Below are 24,820 nucleotides of genomic sequence, written 5' to 3' on the forward strand. Positions count from 1 at the left end.
AGGAAAGAGAATGAACCTTTGCTTATAACCTACTGTAATGTACCCCCTCGTAATTTAAATTATGTCTCAGAGTTAGATTTTATTATTTCCATATTACAGACAGGGGATTGGGGTGCAGTGCTTAACGGCTGTACCCAGAGTCACACTTGGTAGTAATTTGCAGAGCAAAGATCTGCAAAGACTGGCTCTTGTGGACATCACAACAGTGCCATGTGAAACAAAGTGGCTTTCAGACCAGGACAGTGGTACTGAGATATTCTTATGATGCCCAAGTCACAGGTGAAAAGGAAACAGAGCTAATCTCTGCTGATGGTCCCATTAACGGGTTCTCAGTGTTTTCTGTTTTCATTTCTTTGGGGCAGTGAACACCCAGACCACTGAATTCAGAAATCTTTATATTGTAAACCACTTTGTTCATTCTCTACTAAATTCACCTGGTCTGTATAATTTGAAAAGCTGCATATTTTATTCTTTTTGATCAATTGTTTTTATTCAAAATGTTTCTTATTCTTTTTGATCAATTGTTTTTATTCAAAATGTTTTACGTAAGGAGTTCAACGTTTTCGTAAGAATGAGCTACCCATGCAGGCATCTACCTGCTCACTGGTGGGAGAGTGAACATAAATATTGTCCAGGGAAATTGAGAAGAAGGCAGCTGACATGTTTCTGCTAAGAAGAAGCCATCTCTTTCTTTCCATCTCTCTCTCTTCCTAAGAAAGGCAGATCAGGCCTAAAGCCCTAGCAGGTTAGCCGTGTTTCTTCTAGAAGTCAGGCCTACGATGGAGCGGTAGAAGCCAAAGGCAAGAGGAAAGAACTGGAACAGAGCTGGGCGCAGGGTGGCTAAGTCCACAACGTAAAAAGTTGAGGTCGTGTGATGTTTTTATTTCAATAGCTGACACCCTGCATTTTAAATAAGGCTTAACTTTTTAGGTACAAATTGTTAACCTAATACATTTTAATCTTTTTAAGATGATGCATAGTTTGATCTTGTACATATAAAATTTTACTTTTTGCCTGTCTCTAACTCGCTGACTAGCGGTTCTTCACCCTCTCCATATGTGTGTGTCCACGCACCTGTCTGTGAGTAGATACACGGAGAGAAACAATAAGATGTCTGACATGACGTTCACCTAATTTAATAATCAGAATTTCTAAGTAGTAGATTTTAGTTGGTATCTGTTTTCACTTTCACTTTGTTTTTTTTTTTTGAGCCGGAGTCTCGCTGTGTCGCCCAGGCTGGAGTGCAGTGGTGCCATCTCGGCTCACTGCAAGCTCCGCCTCCCGGGTTCACGCCATTCTCCTGCCTGGAGAATTCTCCTGCTGGGACCACAGGTGCACGCCACTGCCCCGGGCTAATTTTTTGTATATTTAGTAGACATGGGGTTTCATCGTGTTTGCCAGGATGGTCTCAATCTCCTGACCTCGTGATCCACCTGCCTCGGCCTCCCAAAGTGCTGGAATTACAGGTGTGAGCCACCGCACCCAAATGAAAATGCACCTTAATAAAATTTTAAAAAATAATTCATGCTTATTGTAGAACATTTAGAAAATGTTAAAAAGTATAAAAGAGCAAAATAGGTATCACGGCTAATTCTATGACTGTTAACATTTTAGTGAGTTTTCATTACAATCAACTTGAATGTTCAATTTGGACTCCTACTTTTTTTACATAATGTGTTTTTCTGTGTCTTTAATTATTTGGAGGCATGGAGAATGGGACTATATTCCAGGAGTCCGGAGAGTGAGGAATGATGGTGATCTGGGACTCTGGTTGTGGGAGTAGAAATGAAAGTCAATGAAGAAACTTGAGAAATATTTAGAGATAAGATTGACAGAACACAGTGATGGACTTGATGTGTATTTGAAATAACTTTACGTGTTTTATTTCCACAAATGTAAAGGTCTCATAATTTTGTCATAAATCACGCACAAAGAACACAAGGGCAACAATATCTTCACTGGAGACACATGCAAATTTCTTACAAAGTCAGCGTTTTAAATTGTGAATTCATGTGCCAACATATTTACTTAAAGGGTATAAAGAACCATGTTATGGGTATTATATTTTCTAATAATTTTACTCAACACTCTGAATGTGCATAGTCTATCCTAAAGATCAGGTAGAAATGACGGGATCTGAAATGATACAGGAGAAAAAGTCTTGGCTCTTAACCAGAGACTTTTATGGCATATTTCTATCTTTACTACATAACAGTGAAGTCTATTAAAAGTCCAAAACTGAAGCAAATTCACCTTTTTATAATGCTTCAATAATTGTGTTTTGAGGGTCTTTGCTACATACTTGAAATATATTTTCAAAGCTATCTGACTGATTTATGAAGAAATACACATGTGTTTTGTGCTTCACAAAAGCACATTTGGATATTATTAAACAGAAAAGATAAAATATTACATAGGTCTGAAGAATTAATTTTAAAATGTTTCTTTAAGATAAACAGTGTATCAACTATATCTTAAATGTCATCACTTTGGATGACCAACTAAGCAGATTTACAGACAACCGCATGGCTAAACAGGAATTATTTTGGTCTCTTTGTCATAAACTATTATGTCCAAAGACAGCAGCAGCATCTCCATCGACCCTGCAGTGGGAAATCTGCCCTGTCACAGTGGAATCTCCACGGGCAACAAGGGAAAGAATATACTTCACACTATGCATAATTCCTCAAAAGTTTTCTCATTTTGAGATTGGCTCAAAAACGATGTGCTAAATAAAATTCTAGCCATCACAGGTAAGGAAGAAGGAACTGTCAGCATTCCATCCTACGGGCTGTAATTCAGAGCTGCTGTACAAGTCACACGCTGTTCTTATCAGAAATCTGCTTTCTTAGCTTTTCTTTACACATTCCAACCTATCTTCACATATGCTGAGATTTCTGTGAGGAAGGGAGCACTCTAACATAAAATTATTGGTTGCTATTTTATGACTTGTCAGGTCTATGGCATTCAGAAATGCAGGCATGCATGCTGTGTGTCTTACCTGGCCAAGGCCCAAGTCAGCCAGACATGTGTCCCTGGGAATGGCCCCTCTGCTGATTGGCATTTGTCTGCAGGATGGATGCAGCCACCCCAAGACCTTCTGAATTCTCAAGGTTCCTTGAAGAACTGCAGGGAACTTTGCTTCTTTGATTACTGAAACTGGAAGATGCAGCAAACTCTTCCCAGGACAAAGAGCTGGAATAGAAAGGCAACCATGGCACTCACTGGCAACACTGTCTCCCCATGTGAAGGTCATTGGAGGTCAAGCTCCAGTAAACCCATCCAATAAACCTATTTCATGGAGGATTCATTCATTCATTAATTCTATAAATATTTCCTGAGGTTCTACTGTGTGCCAAGCACTATTCCCCACATCAGGACAGAATAGCCAACGAAAGAGTCAAAAACACCTTTGCTCGGAGCCTACATTTCCCATTTTGGAAGGCTTCTTGGGCCAAAAGAACCCAGAGAGAAGGACTCCATCCCTTCTCCTGCAGCACCAGAGAAGACCCTGCTGCACTCTACAATGGTCAAGTCCAGGAAAGAAAATTCAAGCTCCTGGTTATAAATGATAACTAACAACAAAGACTACAGCAACTGAGATGTTATGTTCCTTCTGCAAAGCTGAATTTCTCTAGTCTTAGTAAACATAAAGCTGCACTTTTCTTAGAAAAGCCAAGGGGAAATCAGAGGATGAATAATCGGAACCCTTGGAGTGAAGTGTAAGCCATCCGATATTTGGCTTATGTTTCACTGTCTGTTTCTTAAGAGGAGTTACCTTGTGTTCATTACCTTAGAGAAGAGAAAGACAGACAGAAAAAGAAAACTGTCACAGATGCTGGGAAAGTAAGCACTTGTATTAGTAACAGAAAACCACAGTAACGTGAGGAGTCACTCTCAGAAAGACTTTAAATCCTCTCTCACTCTCCAGCACATAGGAGGCCTAGGGATCTTTAGAGAAATCAGGGAGAAGGATAGATAATATCTCAGCACCATGACTCTCCCAGGAACATAAGATAGAATGTGAGGCAGGGGCCCCATCTTTCACCAGTTTCTACTCATTGGTAAGAAAACAAGGCTTGCTTTCTTATTTAAAGAACAAATCCTGTATCCACCATCTGAATTATTCTTGGCATCTGATGAGGGATGGAGACTACAGAGGCAAATTTGAAAGAAGAAATATTTTATTTTACAAGCTTGATTTGAATATAAGCCTTAAATTTATGTTGACCAAATCCAAGAATAAGATTATACAACCAAAACATAGCAAGGGGCAGGGGAAGTTTTGAGTTTTTTTCCTAATTACAAAGCCTACTAGGAGACTAATAATGGGGAAAACTTTCTCATGGAGCTGAATCCTGCAAAACCTAGTGATAAAGAACAAGAAAATAAGAATTGCAGTTTATTTCCATTCTCTTTTTCTTTCGTTATTTTATCTTTCTTAACCTATAATATATATGATTTTGCTTGTTCTAAAAGTGAGCTCACTAAAAGTGAGCCTTCGTTTTATGACAATTGTAGCCCAGATATATCTATTGGGAAATTTTTTATATGAATGCAGTGTCTATATCTATATAATATTCATTTTTGTAGTCTGTAGATCTGAATGGGTGACTAAATTAATGTTATGAACGGCTCACTTGAAATAACAAAGAGATAATTCCTTAATATATAAGCACAAAAATTAAAATCAATTTGCAATCTTGATCAAAGATATCAATAGTCACAAACAAGGCTGATTAAGAAAGCAACGTGAACATTCTGTAACTTGATCACAACCCATAATGAGTGTTGTCCAGAGGAGAGCCTTTTAGCAATTCACAAGGCCCTGTGTGCCTAACAGTTAATTCCTGCTTAGCCAGATTGTGCAGATTCATTCTCAGGCACAACATATAAAATGCTGGGAAATACCCCGATTTTTGGCTGCAGAACTGCAATTGAGCCATGAGGAAGACAGTCTCCGAGAAGACATAGGAGGGCACAGCTCTCCCATGAGGAAGACAGCCTCAGAGGAGACATAGGAGGGCACAGCTCTCCCATGAGGAAGACAGCCTCAGAGAAGACATAGGAGGGCACAGCTCTCTCATGAGGTAGACAGCCTCAGAGGAGACATAGGAGAGCACAGCTCTCCCACGAGGAAGACAGCCTCAGAGAAGACATAGGAGGGCACAGCTCTCTCATGAGGTAGACAGCCTCAGAGGAGATATAGGAGGGCACAGCTCTCCCATGAGGAAGACAGCCTCAGAGGAGACATAGGAGGGCACAGCTCTCTCATGAGGAAGACAGCCTCCGAGGAGACATAGGAGGGCACAGCTCTCCCATGAGGAAGACAGCCTCAGAGGAGACATAGGAGGGCACAGCTCTCCCATGAGGAAGAGAGCCTCAGAGAAGACATAAGAGGGCACAGCTCTCCCATGAGGAAGACAGCCTCAGAGGAGACATAAGAGGGCACAGCTCTCCCATGAGGAAGAGAGCCTCAGAGAAGACATAGGAGGGCACAGCTCTCCCATGAGGAAGAGAGCCTCAGAGAAGACATAGGAGGGCACAGCTCTCTCATAAGGAAGACAGCCTCAGAGGAGGCGTAGGAGGGCACAGCTTTCCCATGAGGAAGACAGCCTCAGAGGAGACATAGGAGGGCACAGCTTTCCCATGGCAAAGGGCTCAAGAAGACCTGGACTCTGCTGTGAAGAAGGAAATTGTCCCAGAAAGTCCAGAGCAAGAGTCCTCCCAAATTCTTTATCAGCTCATCCTAAGAGCTCACTGGATGGCTTCACGGGGGTCATTAATTCTTCTCCTCACTCAGGAGCTCTAGTCCACAAGTATCCAGTTTCACACACAGCTGCAAGACACTCCATTCTAGGGCCACAGTCCAGGATGCAGTCTTCACAGATTTTTTGATCAAATGGATCAAGAGTAGAGGGTCTGTCCATGAATAATAAAACATAGGGAGGAAATAAGACACATAGAATGGAATTCTCTCTTTGGGTTGAGAATATATATACCCAATAATTCTTTTTTTATTCCTTTGTAGGGGAAGAAAGGTTTCTTTTCCTCACCCATCACTAGGACTATGGCCGATGCCCCTGTAACAAAGTACAGATTGAGAGAAAAGTGTACACATGTATTTAAAAAGCTTTATGTGGCACAGGAGTCTTCATAAGAAAATGACCCAAAGAAACAGGAAATCTTGTGTATCATAGTGCTTAGTTAGGTTGGATGAACAGTGGACTCAGGTATTGGTACAATTGGACAGAGTGAGTATGCTCTCATGGAGATAAACTGGGGGAACTTAGCAAGGCCTGTGTGTTCAAATTCTTCTCTGTGTCCCTGTGTCTTCAGAGATAAGGATGTTTCTTTCTTCTGGGTATAAGGACTCTTCCTCTCAAATGAGGTCTTATGATCTGCTCCTGGGGGGTCAGAGAGTGACCTGCCTGCATCTGCTTCTTCTCAAATGCCACTTGTGATGCCCTTCCTGGGAGACAAAGCCATCTTTGAGTATTTCAGGATTCCAAAATAGACTCCATTCCTTGGATTTACCAAAAGCACCAGCCTAAAGGGCCTGTCAGGAAGTTCACCAGAAAGAGAAACCTATTTCCCTGTAAGGGAAGTGGCTGGATGGTCCCGCCCCAGATTCTCTGATGTGGACCTCACTTGGGATGCAACCCTGGTACAGCTCCTCCATCTCAGTCATTAGAAGTAAGTTCATTGAAAATGGTCTTCTGATACAGTCATTGCTGAATTGCAGTTTCAACTAATTATACCCCTCAGAATCTCCTTGAATTCTAACAACTAAGTAACTAAATGTCTACTAAGTACCTATAATTGTGCTGTCAAGAGTAATAAGTGAGGCCAGGCACGGTGGCTCTCGCCTGTAATCCTGGCACTCTGGGAGGCCAAGGCGAGTGGATCACTTGAGGTCAGGAGTTTGAGACCAGCCTGGCCAACATGGTGAAACGCTGTCTCTACTAAAATTACAAAAATTAGCTGGGCGTGGTGGAGGGTGCCTGTAGTCCCAGCTGTTAGGGAGGCTGAGGCAGGAGAATCACTTGCACCCAGGAGGCGGAGGTTGCAGTGAGCCAAGATTGCGCCATTGCACCCCAGCCTGGGCGACAGAGCGAGACTCTGTGTCATTTAAAAAAAAAAAAAGAGTAATAAGTGAATAATATGCAACATTATTCTTTCTACAGCTTCATATGCGTTGCATTTACACATGTTCTTATGTTTTTTATGAGACTTATATAGTGTGCAATGTGTATTTTCAACAGTGAAACTAAAAACTTCTCATGTGTCTTTCTTCTTTGGCCTTAAAAATTATTTTTTATGCTAACTAAATCATCTACATTATTACTCTGTGCTAACTAACATAAATAAACTAGTACACTATTCTCATTTACCCAACTTTTTTATACCGTTCCTACCAACAGTTCCAAATATAAGCTGTATTCATCATCAGTTAGTTCTAAAGAGTTTAGGTGCTCCCCCAATGTGCTCCTACAGCACCCTGAACCTCCTGCGTATGAGCTTTGATCATCCTGTATTGAAATGAGAAAATCCTGCATTTCCACTTTGTGCTAACCCCAGCATACCACGTCTGCAGAGTAGAGACTGTGTGTATCTTACTCATCCTTGAAGTTGCAGTGCCTGGGACCCCAGCATACCACGTCTGCAGAGTAGAGACCGTGTGTATCTTACTCACCCTTGTAGTCGCAGTGCCTGGGACCCCAGCATAACACATCTGCAGAGTAGGGACTGTGTGTATCTTACTCATTTGCAGTCACAGTGCCTGGGACCCCAGCATAACACATCTGCAGAGTAGGGACTGTGTGTATCTTACTCATCTGCAGTCGCAGTGCCTGGGACCCCAGCATAACACGTCTGCAGAGTAGGGAGTGTGTATCTTACTCATCCTTGCAGTCGCAGTGCCTGGGATAGGTGCTCAGTTGCTGAATGGCCACAGCCCGTGTGTTCTTTCTGTAGTGTGTGTCTCATTCAGAGGCTCAGCTGCAGACACAGGCTGAACTTTACACAAACTTCTTTCCCACCAGTCTGTTTCAAAGGAGCTCAACCATGCCCCAACATACTTTGACCCTTTTCAGTATCAATTTTCAACTGCTGTTTTCTACTCCTTGAAAGCATAACAAATAAAAGAACTTTTCTTTTTCAGTAAATTCTGAAACATAATTACCTTACCAGTCATGCCAAGTGAATCTCATTAAGCTCTTTTGATTAAGATAATGCTAATTCATAAAAGAAAGTATCCTAAATTTAACAAACAGGAAAAATCAGGGACTTGTCTAATTCAACTCACAAAATTGAGCCACGTTTCTTTTACCATGAACATGGTGAAAGGGATTCAACTAACTAAATAAAAGAAAACAAAAGGTAAGGTTAAGTAATAGCATATTACATTTGGGGATGAAGGAGAGTCTCTAATGCTGTAACAGAGGGATTACTTTTGAACTTATTTTCCCCGTCTTTATTACTGACTTTGTAGAGGAGTAAATTGCATATTTTTTTTCTTTTTTTGAGACAGTCTCATTCTGTTGCCCAGGCTGGAGTGCAATGGCACGATCTCAGCTCACTGTAGCCTCCGTCTCCTGGGTTCAAGAGATTTTCCTGCCTCAGCCTCCTGAGTAGCTGGGACTATAGGCATGCACCACCACACCTGGCTAATTTTTGTATTTTCAGTAGAGACAGTGTGTCACCATCTTGGCCAGGCTGGTCTCCAACTCCTGGCCTCAAGTGATCCACCTGTCTCAGCCTCCCAAATCGTTGAGATTACAGGGGAAGCTGAGATAGCAAATTTGTTAAGGCTTTTGGAGTTGTTGTTGGATTCTGTAGGAGTAATATCACAAAGGGTGCCCATGTAGAAGGAGCCCCTTTACTCACAGCATTTATCATGACCTGGGTAACAGGCCTATTCAGCTGGGGAATATCCCAGTCATCATAAAGTCAGCCCCACACGGCTCACATACAAAGCATATCGGCTGGGTCATCTGGGGTGCTCCGACACACAAAGCATATCAGCTGGGTCATCTGGGGTGCCCCAACATACAAAGCATATCAGCTGGGTCATCTAGGGTGCTCTGCTTGGCATTTATAGGTGGAGTTGGACCATCTGCTTATCACGGAAAACAGACCTTCCTGTGGCTTTTCTCTAGTCCACTCGTCTGGCTGTTCCTGCATGAATAACCTCCTGTGTGTCTGGATCACATATACCCATCTGTGGTTGTTCAATAGTGAGTGTGGGTCCTGCACCAGCCCAAACAACTCTTCCACTCTGCAGCATTTAAAACCAGAGACGCTGCTCCTAAATTAGTCACTCTCGATCTGTTTTAGTAAAAGTTCCTCGAGAAGTTAATGATATCAATGTTCAAAATGGAGCAGTTCCTTCACAGGACACCCTCTGGTTTCAACAGTAGTTGGATTTTCCCTTCTCCCACATTCACTGCCTTCTTGGTGACCACAGTTCTGAAGGTACTTTCTGGTGTCCAGGCTTAATGTTCCCCTTTCTGGGTGGCTTTGAGGCTGGTGGCCTGAGTTGAGACAGACCCACATCTGAGTTTATTCCAGCCTCAAGGCCTTACCCAGCACCGTCTTTAACTTTCATTTTAGCCATTATAGATAACAATAACCAAGGGACTGAATCTTTTGCTTTTTTCTTGTTAGTTTGCATTTCCTTATGCATCCAGTGAACTAATTCCTGGGAGGTTGGATCCATCTCTAAATTCGGCTGATAACTTTTACCTTTAGTAACTGATCTCAACATAGCTGCAGCTTCATACCATGAGTGACCACGTGGCCACCTGGGAATCGAAGATTCTTCATCCTCCCACCCTTTAATCCTTTCTCTTTTCAAAGCACATGCTTCCATCAGTCAGGGCCATTTAAGCAAATCCCACTTCACTGACAATTATGTAGGGAAAAACTCTCTCAAACCTTGTTTTTTTTCCCTCTACTCTCACACCACAAAAATCATCAGCACAGAAGAAGACTTCTATGACCAAATGTATGGGGGTCTTTTCCCCATGCATCAAGCGCAGACACAAGTTTGGTGTCCTCGAATTCAGTTCTGACACTGTCTACCCTGAGATAGCATCAGGTCCCATAGATTGGGGGCTCAGTACCCAAGATTCTCCCCAGACTCCCAGACACGAGTTGCAAGTCTGGGCTTCCAGAACATCTGACTGACTGGCTTCAGGTTGAAGTTCCCATGATCCCCGCATTGAGTTTGATTAATTTGCTGGAACAGCTCATAGAACTCAGAGAAACACGTTTACCAGCTTATCACAAAAGATGCTACAACAGATACAGGTGAAAAGACACATAAGGCACGGTATGGGGGATGTGGCATGGCACTTCCTCACCTCCCTGGACACTACCCTCCTCTACGAACCTCCACGTGTTCAGCTAACCAGAAGCTTTGGTGCCATTTTCAAATGCCATAGCCTCACTTTGTGTCTGTGTCACATTTTGGTAATTCTAGCAATATTTCAAAATGTATTAGTATACTTGTTATGGTGCTCCGTGATCAGTGACCTTTGACGTTACTGCTATGTTCTGGGGCACCATGAGCTGCAACCATGTACGATGGCATACTTAATTGATACATACTGTATGGACTCTGACTGCCTCACCAACCCGCTGTTTTCCCATCTCTCTTCCTCTCCTTGGGCCTCCCTATTTTCTGAGACTCAACAATATGAAAATTAGGCCAATTAATAATCCTACAAGCCAAATAATAATCCTACAGTGGCCTATAACTGTTCGTGTAAAAGGAAGAGTCTCATGCATTTCTCACTTAAAATCTAACGCTAGAAATGATTAAGCTTAGTGAGGAAGGCATGTCAAAACATGAGACGGGCTGAAAGCTAGGCCTCTTGGATGAAACAGCCAAACTGTGAATGCAAAGGCAAAGTTCTTGAAGGATGTTAATCCAGTGAGCACACCATGCTAAGAAAGTGAAACAGCATTACTGTTGGTATGTGGAGTTTAATGGTCTGGATAGAAGGCCCAACCAGCCAGAACATTCCTTTATGCCAAATCCTAATTCAGAGGAAGGCCCTGACTCTCTTCGGTTCCTTAAAGGCTGAGAGAAGTGTGGACGCTGCAGAAGAAAAGTTTGAAGCTAGCAGAGATTGGTTCATGAGGTTTAAGGAAAGAAGTGCTCTTCATAGCATAACAGTGCAAGGTGAAGCAAGAAGTGTGATGGAGAAGCTGCAGCAAGTTACCCAGAAGATCTAGCTGAGATCACTGATGAAGGTAGCCACACTACACAATAGACTTTCAGTGTAGATAAAACAGCCTTCTCTACTGGAGGTACATGTCATCTAGGACTTTCACAGTTAGAGAGAAGAAGTCAATGCCTGGCTTCAAAATTTCAAAGGACAGGCTGAGTCTCATGACGGGTTAATGCATCTGGCAACTTTCAGTTAAAGCCAATGTGCCCTTACCATTCTGAAAATTCCAGGGCCCTTAAAACTTACGCTAAACCTACTCTGCCTGTGCTCTACAAATGGAACAACAAAGCCTGAATGACAGCACGTCTATTTATACTATGGTTTACTCAATATTTTAAGCTCACTGTTGATACCTACTGCTCAGAGAAAAAGTTTTCTTTCAAAATATTAGTACTCCATGACACCTAAGAGCTCTGATGGGGATATACAAGGAAATCAACTTTGTTTCCATGCCTGCTAATACAAGATCATTCTGAAGCTCAGGGATGAAGGAGTAATTTCAACTTCCAAGTCTTATTCTTTAAGAAATACATTTCATAGGGTTATCGCTGTCATATAATTCCTCTGATGGATTTGGGCAAAGTAAACTAAAAACCTTATGGAAGGTATTCACCATTCTAGATGCCATTGAGAACATTCATGATTCATGGGAGGGGGGCAAAATATCAACATTGACAGGAGTTTGTAAGAAGTTGATTAAAATTGTCATGGATAACTTTAAGGAATTCAAGACTTCAGTGGAAGAAATAACTGCAGATGTGGTAGAAAGAGCAAGAGCAAAAGAACTAGAATTAGAAGTGGAGCCTGAAGATGTGACTGAATTCCTGCATCTCATGATCAAACTTGATGAAATGAGGACTTGCTTTTTATGGATGAGCAAAAAGAAAAGTGGTGTTTTTTTTTTGGGAGGGATGAAATCTCCTCCTGGTGAAGATACTATGAACATTGTTGAAACAGCAATAAAGGACTTGGAATATTCAATAAACTTAGTTGATCAAGAAGCAGCAGGCTTTGAGAGGATGGACTCTAATTCTGAAAGAAGTTTCACTGTGGGTAAAATGCTATTAAACAGCATCACATGCCACAGAGAAATTTTTCATCAAAGGAAGGGTCAATTGATGTAGCACACTTCACTGTCGTCTTATTTTAAGAAATTGCTGGCCAGGCGCCATTTCTGATGCCTGTAATTCCACAACTTTAGGAGGCTGAGGCTGGTGGATCACCTGAGGTCAGGAGTTTGAGACCAACCTGGCTGACATGGTGAAACCCCGTCTCTACTAGAAATACAAAAATTAGCCAGGCATGGTGTTGGGTGCCTATAATCCCAGCTACTTGGAAGGCTGAGGCAAGAGAAATCACTTGAACCCTGGAGGCAGAGGTTTCAGTGAGCCGAGATCCTGCCACTGCACTCCAGCCTGGGAAACAGACTGAGACTCCATCTCAAAAAAAAAAAAAAAAAGAAATTGTCACAGGCACTCCAACCTTCAGTGCCCACCACCCTGATCTGTTGGCAGCAATCAACATAGAGGCAGGACCCCCATCATCAAAAAGATTACAACTTGCTGAAGGCTCAGATGATCAATAGCATTTTTATCAATAAATTATTTTAAATTAAGGCATGTACATTGGTATTTTCAGACATATTGAAATTGTACTCTTAATAGACTACAATATAGTGTTCACATGACTTTCATGCATTGCAAAACCAAAAAATATGTGTGGCTCACTTTATTGCAGTGTAGTCTGGAACCGAACTCACAATATTTCCAACGTGTGTCTGTAAATAGGACAGAGATACAGTGAGTCGTTAATGGTCAAGAAACCCAGAAACCTGATGAGAGTAAACTAGCCTCAAGACTGAGGAAAAACTTTCCAGAAGAATTTGGGCCTGTTATTGTCCTCATTCATGCATGCAATACTAACCTGCATGCCTACTTATGCCAAGAACTATTTTAAGAGATAGAGATTCAGCAATTAACAAAACAGTCTCTGCTCTCATGGAGCTTGCATAGGGCAAAGTGGGAGCAACCAGTGAAGAAATTTGAAAATGTGTATACAAGATAGGTCAGATGATAAGAAGTGCTTTAAAGAAGAATAAAGTAAAATAAGAGAATAGAGAGTAAGAAGGTGCCATTTTAAGTGAAATGGTCAGAAAAGATTCTTCTTATGACAGAGTAATAATTAATAATTAAGCAAAGGCCTGGATAAGAGAGGAAGTAAGCCATGCTGATTCCTGATGAGAAAGCATTCCAGGCAAAGGGGACCACACATGCAAAGGCCCTGAGGCAGAAGCACATCTGCCTGGTGTCTTTGAAGATTGCAATAATAGAGGGGAGACTGATGGGACTAGAGATCAGAGAAGTGTCAGGGGACAAGATGGTTTAAGACATTCCTAGCCATGGAAGGTTTTAAGCAGATGAAAATATTATTTGCCTTATGCTTTAAAAAGACTTACTCTGGATCACCTGAGGTCAGGGGTTCGAGACCAGCCTGGCCAACATGGCAAAACCCCGTCTCTATTAAAAATACAAAAATTAGCCAGGCTTGGTGATGCATGCCTGTAGTCCCAGCTACTTGGGAGGCTGAGGCAGGAGAATCGCTTGAACCCAGGAGGTAGAGGTTGTAGTGAGCCCAGATTGCACCACTGCACTCCAGCCTGGGTGACAGAGGAGACTCTGTCTCAAAAAACAAAAATAAATACTTACTCTGGTTGCTCAGTGAAGAACAAAGTGCAGGGAGAAAGAGAAAGTGGGAGAGGAGTTAGGAGGCTATTTTGATAATCCATGAAAGCAATGACGTAAAGTGAAGCAGGGTGTACACAATGGGTGTGGCAAGGGAAGCTCAGATTCTGAATACAGTTCAACAGTGTATGCTGATATGAAGTGCAAGAAACAAAGAAGGGTCAGGGCAAGTTTTCTGGCCTAACGGCTGGTATGCTGGAGGTGCTATTTACTGAGACGGAGAAGACTGAGGAGTGTTGGGCCCAGGGGTTGAAGGTGGAGGATCAAGAATTCCCTTATGGATGTGTGATAGTTGTCTATTAGTCTTCCAAGTGGTGATAACTGGCAGATAATTAGATATGAGTCTAAATTTTAGAGGAGAGGTAGGAGCTGGAAATATGTATTCATGGACCGTGCACACACACATGGAATTTAATGCCATTGGGCTTCATGAGATCACAGAGGCATGAGTGCACCTAGAAAAACGGTTGAGAACTGAGACCCGGGATACTCCCTTGTTAAAAGGTAAATGTTCCTTTTACATTTTGAACTTATAGAAATAATGACACAGTAGCCAGCCAGTTGCTGAAACTCTACTCAGTTCAGAGTAAAACAAAATTCCTATTTTATCGAATCACTGAATGCCATTTAAAATTCAGAATACTTGCAGAGATCCCAAATATCTTAATAAAGATGAATGCCTAAGTTCAGATTGGTGGCCTAGACTCTGCCTTCCCTGATTGTCTATTTAAAAATAACAATAATGATAATAATAAGAAGAAAATATTTATGGATCACTAGATATGTTGAAATACACTCAAAGGTAGATTCATTTCTTTTCTACTATACCCTTGTAACTATCAGTCTATAAAATAGTTTTATTAGAAAGTCACAGTCACCCTCAAGCCAATAGCAGCTTATAAATACAGGGCAAGGAGCCTGGTGTGGGGAGGCTGAGAAATAATTGAGAGAGCCAGTAGATATGAAGCTAACAAATAACACTGTCAACCAGAATTAGGCAGATAAGCCAGAGGCAGTGCAAGTGGCGGGTCAAGACAAGTAGACAGACAGAAGCCAGGAGTGAGAGACGGGAGGTCCAAAGTGCAATAAAACACTCAAGAACCAGTCAATCCATGGGAGCTTACAGCTGGAGGGGCGGCTGAAGGGAGGAGCATCCAGGTAGAGGGGAAGGAATGGTGGTATGAACAGGAGGCAGGAGGGCTCAAGCTATTTGATATGTTTGAGAGTGAGGTGCTTTTTTGAGGCTGAGAAAATAACTGGAAGCCAGAATCTGGAGGACTGGGTAGACCATGTTAAACAGCAAGCACTTGATTCTGCATGTGTTGGAAGCCAGTGCAGGGCTTCTAAGCAAGGCAGTGACATGATCACATCACATTTTAGGAAGGTTACAAATTAGGCATGGCCACAGGCAGGAAGACCTGAGGGATCTCTTACAGTCAGGGATAAGAGTCTAACCAACAAGGTGGCCATGAACATTCAAAGAAAGAAGACCGAAGAGACTTTAGAAGGCAGCCTCCACGGGACCTGACTGAAGGGGTTTGGGAGACTCACAGCTTTCTGCTGTGAAGTCAAGGATATCACAAACTATTGGAATAAAAGAAACAGTCCTAGGGCTGGGGGTAGGTAGGTGAATGCAGTTCCTTTTTGAACGGAGGAGAAAATTCAGGTAATTCATTTTGATTGATCAAGCAAAATAATTTGAAGCTGAACATTATAGAAGCAACAACAATTCTTATGATGTTGGGGTATAGGAAACAGGCCCAAGAAAGCACAGTATTTCCTGTTTCTCTTCTGATTCAATAAATAATAAGAATATTTTCTGTTAAAGTTTTTGATAACGTGTTGTTTTAATTAATCAAAAGGAGACAAGATACATTTGAACTTAAAAGCATAAGAAAATCAGTTGTCTTTTTAGAAAAGGTGAGTCAGCATGGGTAGGAAGAATCAATATCGTGAAAATGGCCACACTACCCAAGGTAAATTATAGATTCAATGCCATCCCCATCAAGCTACCAATGATTTTCTTCACAGAATTGGAAAAAACTACTTTAAAGTTCATATGGAACCAAAAAAGAGCCCGCATTGCCAAGTCAATCCTAAGCCAAAAGAACAAAGCTGGAGGCATCATGCTACCTGACGTCAAACTATACTACAAGGCTACAGTAAGCAAAACAGCATGGTACTGGTACCAAAACAGAGATATAGACCAATGGAACAGAACAGAGCCCTCAGAAATAATGCCGCATATCTACAACTATCTGATCTTTCACAAACTGACAAAAACAAGAAATGGGGAAAGGATTCCCTATTTAATAAATGGTGCTGGGAAAACTGGCTAGCCATATGTAGAAAGCTGAAACTGGATCCCTTCCTTACACCTTACACAAAAATTAATTCAAGATGGATTAAAGACTTACATGTTAGACCTAAAACCATAAAAACCCTAGAAGAAAACCTAGGCAATACCATTCAGGACATAGGCATGGACAAGGACTTCATGTCTAAAACACCAAAAGCAATGGCAAGAAAAGACAAAATTGACAAATGGGATCTAATTAAACTAAAGAGCTTCTGCACAGCAAAAGAAACCACCATCAGAGTGAACAGGCAACCTACAGAATGGGAGAAAATTTTTGCAACCTACTCATCTGACAAAGGGCTAATATCCAGAATCTACAATGAACTCAAACAAATTTACAAGAAAAAAACAAACAACCCCATCAAAAAGTGGGCAAAGGATATGAACAGATACTTCTGAAAAGAAGACATTTATGCAGCCAAAAAACACATGAAAAAATCCTCATCATCACTGGCCATCAGAGAAATGCAAATCAAAACCACAGTGAGATACCATCTCACACCAGTTAGAATGGTGATCATTAAAAAGTCAGGAAACAACAGGTGCTGGAGAGGATGTGGAGAAAGAGGAACACTTTTACACTGTTGGTGGGACTGTAAACTAGTTCAACCATTGTGGAAGTCAGTGTGGCAATTCCTAAGGGATCTAGAACTAGAAATACCATTTTACTCAGCCATCCCATTACTGGGTATATACCCAAAGGATTATAAATCATGCTGCTATAAAGACACATGCACACGTATGTTTATTGCGGCACTATTCACAATAGCAAAGACCTGGAACCAACCCAAATGTCCAACAATGATAGACTGGATTAAGAAAATGTGGCACATATACACCATGAAATACTATGCAGCCATAAAAAAGGATGAGTTGATGTCCTTTGTAGGGACATGGATGAAGCTGGAAACTATCATTCTCAGCAAACTATCACAAGGACAAAAAACCAAACACTGCATGTTCTCACTCATAGGTGGGAATTGAACAATGAGAACACATGGACACAGGAAAGGGAACATCACACTCCGGGGACTGTTGTGGGGTGGGGGGAGGGGGGAGGATAGCATTAGGAGATATACCTAATGCTAAATGACCAGTTAATGGGTGCAGCACACCAACATGGCACATGTATACATATGTAACAAACCTGCACGTTGTGCACATGTACCCTAAAACTTAAAGTATAATAATAATAAAAAAAAGAAAATAATAAGACTAAAGTCAAACTGTCCATTAAAATTTATATAATTCAATTTTGAGATTTTCTTAGTATATAATTTACATACATGACATACATGTGGATGTTTGGAGGTATATCCACATACATTCACCCATTTATTCTTTTATTTATTAATTTGTTTATTTGCTCATTAAAAAAATACTAAGTGATTACTCCAGGGATTGGGGTCTAAACATGTATAAGCCTTGGGGCCTCTCCTTAAAATCCACTGAGGCAAAGATGGGCAAATAAGTGGCTATAATGTATCCTGAAAAAAAAAGGAAAAGGAGAGTCAGTATTTCCTATGGTCTGAAATCATCTTTCAAATAATGGGATGTGAGACAAATGAGATGCTACTTATCTAGCCCTTTCCTTGATAGATTAAAAACGATATCAAAATCTTACTACATTGCAAAGACAGTAATTCACTCAGTTGAGAATCCACAGTATACAAACATATAAATCAAGGGAATTTTAAAAACAATCATTGTGTTCAAAATGGGAAGAGTATTTCAAATTTTTTCTACATATTTCAGAATAATTTCACAGTTAAAAACCCTGTACTTTATGAAATCATTATCCAGTATTTAATAAAGTATATCTATGACAATATCAACGTTGGAATTTAACAGTTTACAAAGCACTTTTGATACATCACATTTAAATGAAGGCGGCAACGAGTTCAGTACATTCACGCAGATTAGAAAACAGTTTTTGAAGATTGCATTTGTTCATGTAAGTCAGAAGGTTTGAACTATTTCCTACCCCTGCTATAGGTTTAAACCTAAGAATTGTTATTCATTACGATTTGGTCTTTAAATAAATCACGAAGGTAGAGGGTAGAGCACACCCCTTCAATGCACTGAGGTGCCGTAAGGCTCCAACGCCAGAGGCGGCCGGTTGGAATTTAGTTCAATCACGCGTTTGTTATGAAAACTCTGACAAGCTTCAGCTCTAAAGTAAGCTTGGAAACACAAAGAAACTCTGAGAAAAATACCAAACACACACACACAAACACACACACACACACTCACTCCTCTCTTTTTAGCTGGGCATAGAAAATGTAAGTGTACCAACAAGCAACCTCCAAAGAGCAAATGACACAGAAAATTCAAACGAGCGCCTGGTAGGAGTTGTAACTTCAACAAAGTGCCTCTCATATCTGCCTCATAAACCCGTACTCATTTTTCACAACTAACTCACATAGCACCTCCTCAGTGACACCTTTCCTGTTCTGCCCACCAGATATACCTGCGGACCAAGCGTAGTCTCTCACCCAGAACACAGGGCACCTTATACAGGGGGCTCTGTCTACAGGGGGCTCTATGCTTTGACAGGAACTGTGGACCTATGGGCAGCGGTTTTTCAAATCATGTTTGTGGCTCTCATTACAATTGTCCTGCCTCAGGCACCCAGCAGGCGGTAATAAATGCTGGTTGAACACTAAAACCTTGGAATGCTACATCATTGTTCTAAAGGATAGTCATTTTTTAAAACATTTTGGAAGTTCTTTTGAAACTGACTTTTTAGATTATGAAAATATCTCAGTGATAGGTTTTGGTTTTCCAAGTTAGACCTTATTTTATTTTAGAAACTGTCAAAAGTTATACAAAACCAAGCATGTATCTCTGTGCGTTTTGTTTTCTCTTCTCCCTTACTGCTAAGGAAGGGTTTCTTCTCTTTTCTAGGCCAAATGCTCCACAAATGAATGTGTTAACAAATGAACAAATTAATAAATGACACGAATGGGAGCTCAAACTGCATAAAAGTATATTTACTCAAAAATGGGAGGTGACGATTGCTAACATGTCATAACCAGACTCTGTCATGACCTCGGCAAGCCACAACATTGACAATAAAGAGGAAAGAGGATCAAGTCCCTAAATACCCAGGTGAACTAAGACCTTCCCACGTGCCCGAAGAAGATACACTTGCAGAGGAGAAATGATGATGCAGGGGCCTGCTCCGAGATGCAGGAGGAAGTTTAATTGCCTGTGAATTTCACTGGGAAGGAAGGGATGAAACGAGGTTTGAAAGGAAATAGAGATTGTTAAACTCCTGACTAGGCGATAACTGCCGTCCTTCTCTTCTATCTGCCCCTGTGACTAGGCGGTAACTGCCGTCCTTCTCTAATATCTGCCCCTGTGACCAGGCGATAACTGCCGTCCTTCTCTAATATCTGCCCCTGTGACTAGGCGATAACTGCCGTCCTTCTCTTCCATCTGCCCCTGTGACTAGGCGATAACTGCCGTCCTTCTCTTCCATCTGCCCCTGTGACTAGGCGATAACTGCCGTCCTTCTCTAATATCTGCCCCTGTGACTAGGCGATAACTGCCATCCTTCTCTTCCATCTGCCCCTGTGACTAGGCGATAACTGCCGTCCTTCTCTGCTGTCTGCCCCTACCTTGGGCCCCAAATGGCTCAGCACTAAAGTGCCTTGAGCAGGCTCCAGCCCAAAGGTGGCCTCCATGGTTACCACTTCCCACTCTGCTGCCCTGCCTCGCTTTCCTCCTCGGCCTTCCCGGATGGATGACCGATGTCATTCCCAGGTTCCCTAACACTCAAGCCTAGCCCCTCAGTTTCTAGCAAGCATCAAGCTTCACTGTGTGTCTAGCCTCTCAGGAGTCAGACCTGAGAAGTATAGCTTGGTGGAAATTCAGTGGCAGGGAAGAAAGAAGGAAGGAAAGAAGACTCTGAGCTGGATTCATACACATCATCGCAATTCATCCACACCACAGTCCTGTAAGGTATGTGCCATTGTACTCAGAAAACTGAGGCTCAAAGAGATTGAGCAACTTATCTAAGCCTTCGCAGGTCCTGAGAGCAGAGCTTGGATTTTAAACACCTGGGAGACTCTGAAATCCATGTTAGCTCTTCTATACATGAGCCCAAAACGCAGCTGTACACCAAGACTGACTTCCTCTTACAGCTTATCACTAGCTCTGAATACAAGAGTCCTCAAAATGCTTTATAAGCAACAGTAGCATCATGGGAATAAGTTGGCAAGTTCCCAGCATTACTGCTTTAGAGGCACTTGAACTTTTTCTCCATGTATAGAGTCAAGAATAAGAAAAAGGATCCAAAGGAGAAGGAGAGAAATAAAACGGGACTGAGCCTTATACTTCTTGACCCAGAACAGACAATGGTGGGATTTTCCTTACTTTTTTTCCAGGCAAATCCAATAAAGACGTCTGTTTCTGTTACCTAAAACCAACTTGAAAAGTTTGCTCCCTCCCACCTTAAGTGTCTTTGAATAGAGCCCACAGTTGAACATTGGTTCCTACGGCAAAGATTCATTTCAAAGTGTTTATAGTATTATTCGAAGCACGTTTGATTTCAGCCTGGGCAACCATGGCAGAATGTCAGCAATGCTCCCCGTATTAGCTGTCGGAGAGAAAACACTGTGAAACCCAAACACCTTGGTTATTGGGCCAATGAAACATTTATGCCCTGATCAGATGGAGCAAAGCTTCGGCAGGGTTAGTGAGCCACCTTCCAAGTGTACCAATGAAGCTCTTGCCTGCTGTTTCAGATAAATGACTTTCATTTCACTGTTGGCTTGTGCTTGAGAAGGTTATTCAATTGATTCCAGTTGTTTGCAATGCCTTGAAGGCAAGTAATGTTGTAGCATCCACTGTCCTCATAACACACTGTTTCTTTTCTAAGGAAGGTTGTTGTCATAATACCCTAGATATCCACAGAAAATATTCTACTTCTTATCATATATTAATTTTGCTCTGGAATAAGTAAATGTAACTACCAGAATGCTAATGAGGATGTTACACTGTTGTTTATTTGTGTGTTCTAATCTGTAGATAAACAGCAAGATCTCTTTTATTTCATGATTCCAAGTCTCAGGCCACAGCAGGACAAGTATCAAAACATCTATTCTCAATTCGGAGTTGAGATTTCTAATAAGAATTCTATTTTCTCCATAATCATAAAATAGCACCAGGAAAAGTCAATATCTATCTTAAAATACAGACCATTGAAAAGTAGATCTTTCTGCCCTTAACATAAACAAACTGTAAAATCTGAAGTTAAAATTATTCCTTGTACCAGCCTCCTAATTTACCCAGAGTTAACAGAAAAGTTATAGCAGTGCAGGAAGCTCTGAGGCTTTGATGGGTGTAGATATAGACATACAAACCTATCATTTCACACTAGTCAGAATACCAGTCATAGAAATCCCCGCAGGGAAAAATCTGAAGGTATCTGGTCTTATGGACTGTATAATTAAACTTTCTTATCATTGTACCTAAACCAAAATATGCTTCCTATACAAAGAAGGTTTCTTTCAAGAGTTAAGACTGCCTCCTGCCATCCTCCTTAACACACACACACACACATGCACACACACACACACACACACACACAGAGAGAGAGAGAGAGAATTGAGAGCATTAGTCCTTTTCTCCCTTAGACTGATTTTTTCTTACTGTTATTTTCAGCCACTTTGTTAACGGTGGGGTTAAAGGGCAGGATAGATGTAACACCCATTTCACATACATATTGCAACATCAGAGATGCTGGTTTTCATTAAAAACACCAGATCTAAATTCCTTCTAAAATATATTTTAAAAAATCAGTACACTTGGCACCTTGGAAATGCTGAAATGTTATCATGAATGCTCGTTATTTGTTATGAGTCAATTGAATATTATCTTCAATATAAACTATAATTTACTGGTCTGATAGCTCTTCCTATCTTACCTGTATATACTCAAAGGGAGCGATTTCTCATGTTTAGCAAATTGTTCTTTAGGTAATTTGTTCTTTAGGTTTTTTGTACAAAAGTACAAAATAGTTATCACAGCAAACTTTCCAGTATTTGTTATTTTGAAGCTATATGGTTTTTTTTTTTTTTTTTGCCATGTCAGGCTTGAGCAGGATAGCAAATATATAAATTGAGCTCTCTAATTATAATCTCAATATATGAATTCTTGCTAATTAAAATACTTTGCACCAGCAAAAACAATTTTCATGTATGTGTTTAGGAGGTAGTTAAGTAACTCTATATAAAAATAAGTGCACTTTCCCCTCCTTTCTTCAGTGACTAGAAAACGTCCATATTTTTAAAATAATCAAATAATAATTTTAGAGAGCAACAGCCCTCAACTCTTTGCTGGTGCTTATCACACTGCCTTTCTTCACTCCATTCTTAGCTCTGCTAGTTTCTTCTTGTCTGTAATGATAATAAGGGAATGTGGGTGGGTCAGCACTTCTGTGTAGGTCCCCTTTCCAAATTTACCTTCCAAAAAGCCAACCAAATAAACAACCAAAAAATTGTGCAACAAAACACAAATAGCGTTCCAATAGCAAGTGATGCATTCACCTGAGATTAAGTGGTTTTAGGTGGTCAGTAACAAAATGCTGCTTTGCTGTCATAGTAGAAAGGCAACAAATTCTTCAAAGAAACCAAGAAGGTTACAACCTTGACAAAGTCTCTCATTACCTTCCTCCTCTTGTGTCTTTTTTCTCCACATTATCTGTTGCGTATCTACTATAGAAGGCTGCAAAACATACAGCAGAAAGGATGGCTTGAAGGCAATTGATGTTTGTAAAAAAATCCACAACAGGATCCAAGCTGAAGAGGTGAACACGTCAGCCTGGTGGGACAATTCTCAGCATGTGCAAACATAGGTAAATTCTAGCCTATGTTACATTAAAAACAATGTCAGTGCATTTTTTCATGTTAAAGTTTTTTTCAAAGCTAAAGTGTGTTCCTTGTTGTGCTGACCACAAACGAGTTTTAAGAGTTTTGAAAGTCTGGCAAAAATAGAAAAAAAAAAAAAGCTGTAGTGACATTGAACTGCTCAATGTAAGCATTGGGCATGCACAAATTTTCAAAACAAAGGAAGGAAATCATCCCTCTTACAACATGGTTAGGCTGATCTTTAAGAAATAAAATGTAAGAAATTAGAAAAGCAAATGTTTGGCACCTACATATCCAATATCTGGCACCGTGCAGAGTAGAAGAGTGAAAGAAATAACGAAGAACAAAGTGGTTACTTTGCTTCAGGAGTTCATGATCTGTAGTTAGAAACCAATATAAACATTGTGAGTATATTTCAAAGAAAGAGAAAAGCAGGCCGGGCATGGTGGCTTGCACCTGTAGTAATAACGCTTTGGGAGGCCAAGGTGGGAAAATTGCTTGAGCTCATGAGTTTGATACCAGCCTGAGAAATATAGTAAAACCTCATCTCTATAAAAAAAATTAATTAAAAAAAAGGCAGAGCAAAAACAAATATGAAAGAAAACATTAGAAATCAGAGCTTGGGCAAAGAGTTAAATGTGAGCAAAGCATCTCTGCCTTGGGGGGCCTCTGGAGCATCCCGGCTTCCTGTAGAGGCCCCACCACATGGCCCTTTCCCATCACTGGGAACTGTCTTCTGTATCGTGCCAGGATTTTCCCCCAAACTTCTCAACCTAATTTATTCAGCCAAAACATATATATTTCTTGAATCCTTGCTAAGAGCAAGGCACTGTTCTACATAATGAAAATATGGCAATGATATAAAACAAAAATATTTACCCTCAGGCAAATTACATTCCAGTGAGAAAAGACAGATCATTAATAAAATAAATATGTAAAATATAGAATATGCCAGAAGGTAATAAGTGGTACAGAGAAAAATTAAGCATGGAAGGGAGCTCAGGAATGCTGGGAGTGGGTAGATGTGAAGGTAGTTAGAATGCTCAAGGAGGGAGTAATAGGCAGAAGAATGGCCTTTCTACATGTCCATATCCCTATATGGCAAAAAGGACTTGTGGATGTGATGAAGTTATGGATCATGAGATGAGGAGATTATTCTGGATTACCCAGGTTGGCTCAATGTCATCACAAGAGTACTTAAAAGCAAAAGAGGGAGGCAGGAGAGTCCGAGGCAAGAGGCGTGACAGCTAGGGTCAGAATGACGTGGTGGCTGCCTGGAAGGGGGCCAGGAGCCAAGGGATGCAGGCATCCTCTCAAAGCTGCAGAAGGTAAGAAAGTGGTCTCTCTCCCCTAGAGAGAGTGTGTGTTCTCTTAGCCTACTAGAGGTGTGTTAATTTATTCCTGCAGTCATAGAAAACATATAGAAGGTCTCACTGAGAAGACAACATTTGAACAAAGATTCCAAGGAGGCGAGGGCACCAGCTATGCAGATATCTGGGGAAGAGCACTCGAGGAAGAAAAGGCAGGCAAACAGCAGGGTGCACACCTAGCCCAGGTGCATGAAGTAGAGAACACTGGGAGTCAGAAGGCTAACAGGAGACAAGT

At 41.1% G+C, this 24,820-nt stretch overlaps 2 long non-coding RNA genes across 3 annotated transcripts in view, besides 4 other annotated features; one reads left to right on the plus strand and one right to left on the minus strand.

The window, feature by feature from the left end:
* Positions 1–24,820, minus strand: part of FRG1-DT (FRG1 divergent transcript) — a 176,343-nt gene that overhangs the window by 97,201 nt on the left and 54,322 nt on the right. The window contains exon 3 of one of the 2 annotated variants that reach the window (NR_149039.1): positions 3,002–3,195. This is a non-coding gene — a long non-coding RNA (FRG1 divergent transcript). Of the gene's footprint in view, positions 1–1,867; positions 3,196–24,820 lie in introns of those variants that run through there. The other variant, NR_149038.1, reaches the window with a different exon arrangement.
* Positions 19,308–19,816: an enhancer, noted in NCBI's record as "H3K27ac hESC enhancer chr4:190802054-190802562 (GRCh37/hg19 assembly coordinates)". NCBI's record gives its function as "activates a minimal SCP1, AML or CMV promoter by ChIP-STARR-seq in primed H9 embryonic stem cells {active_cell/tissue: H9 hESC(primed)}" and the evidence as "EXISTENCE:reporter gene assay evidence [ECO:0000049][PMID:30033119]".
* Positions 19,308–20,637: a biological region, named in NCBI's record as "BRD4-independent group 4 enhancer GRCh37_chr4:190802184-190803383".
* Positions 19,438–20,637: an enhancer, noted in NCBI's record as "BRD4-independent group 4 enhancer chr4:190802184-190803383 (GRCh37/hg19 assembly coordinates)". NCBI's record gives its function as "activates an origin of replication core promoter dependent on BRD2, P300/CBP, MED14 and CDK7 cofactors, and independent of BRD4, by STARR-seq in HCT116 cells {active_cell/tissue: HCT116}" and the evidence as "EXISTENCE:reporter gene assay evidence [ECO:0000049][PMID:35650434]".
* Positions 19,817–20,325: an enhancer, noted in NCBI's record as "H3K27ac hESC enhancer chr4:190802563-190803071 (GRCh37/hg19 assembly coordinates)". NCBI's record gives its function as "activates a minimal SCP1, AML or CMV promoter by ChIP-STARR-seq in primed H9 embryonic stem cells {active_cell/tissue: H9 hESC(primed)}" and the evidence as "EXISTENCE:reporter gene assay evidence [ECO:0000049][PMID:30033119]".
* On the plus strand, positions 19,924–23,277 carry LINC01596 (long intergenic non-protein coding RNA 1596). Its single transcript, NR_132380.1, has 2 exons — positions 19,924–20,306; positions 23,069–23,277. It is a non-coding gene; the product is annotated as a long intergenic non-protein coding RNA 1596 (long non-coding RNA).

This window comes from Homo sapiens, chromosome 4 (genome assembly GCF_000001405.40).
Source record: "Homo sapiens chromosome 4, GRCh38.p14 Primary Assembly".
In the NCBI taxonomy this organism is placed as follows: Eukaryota; Metazoa; Chordata; class Mammalia; order Primates; family Hominidae; genus Homo; species Homo sapiens.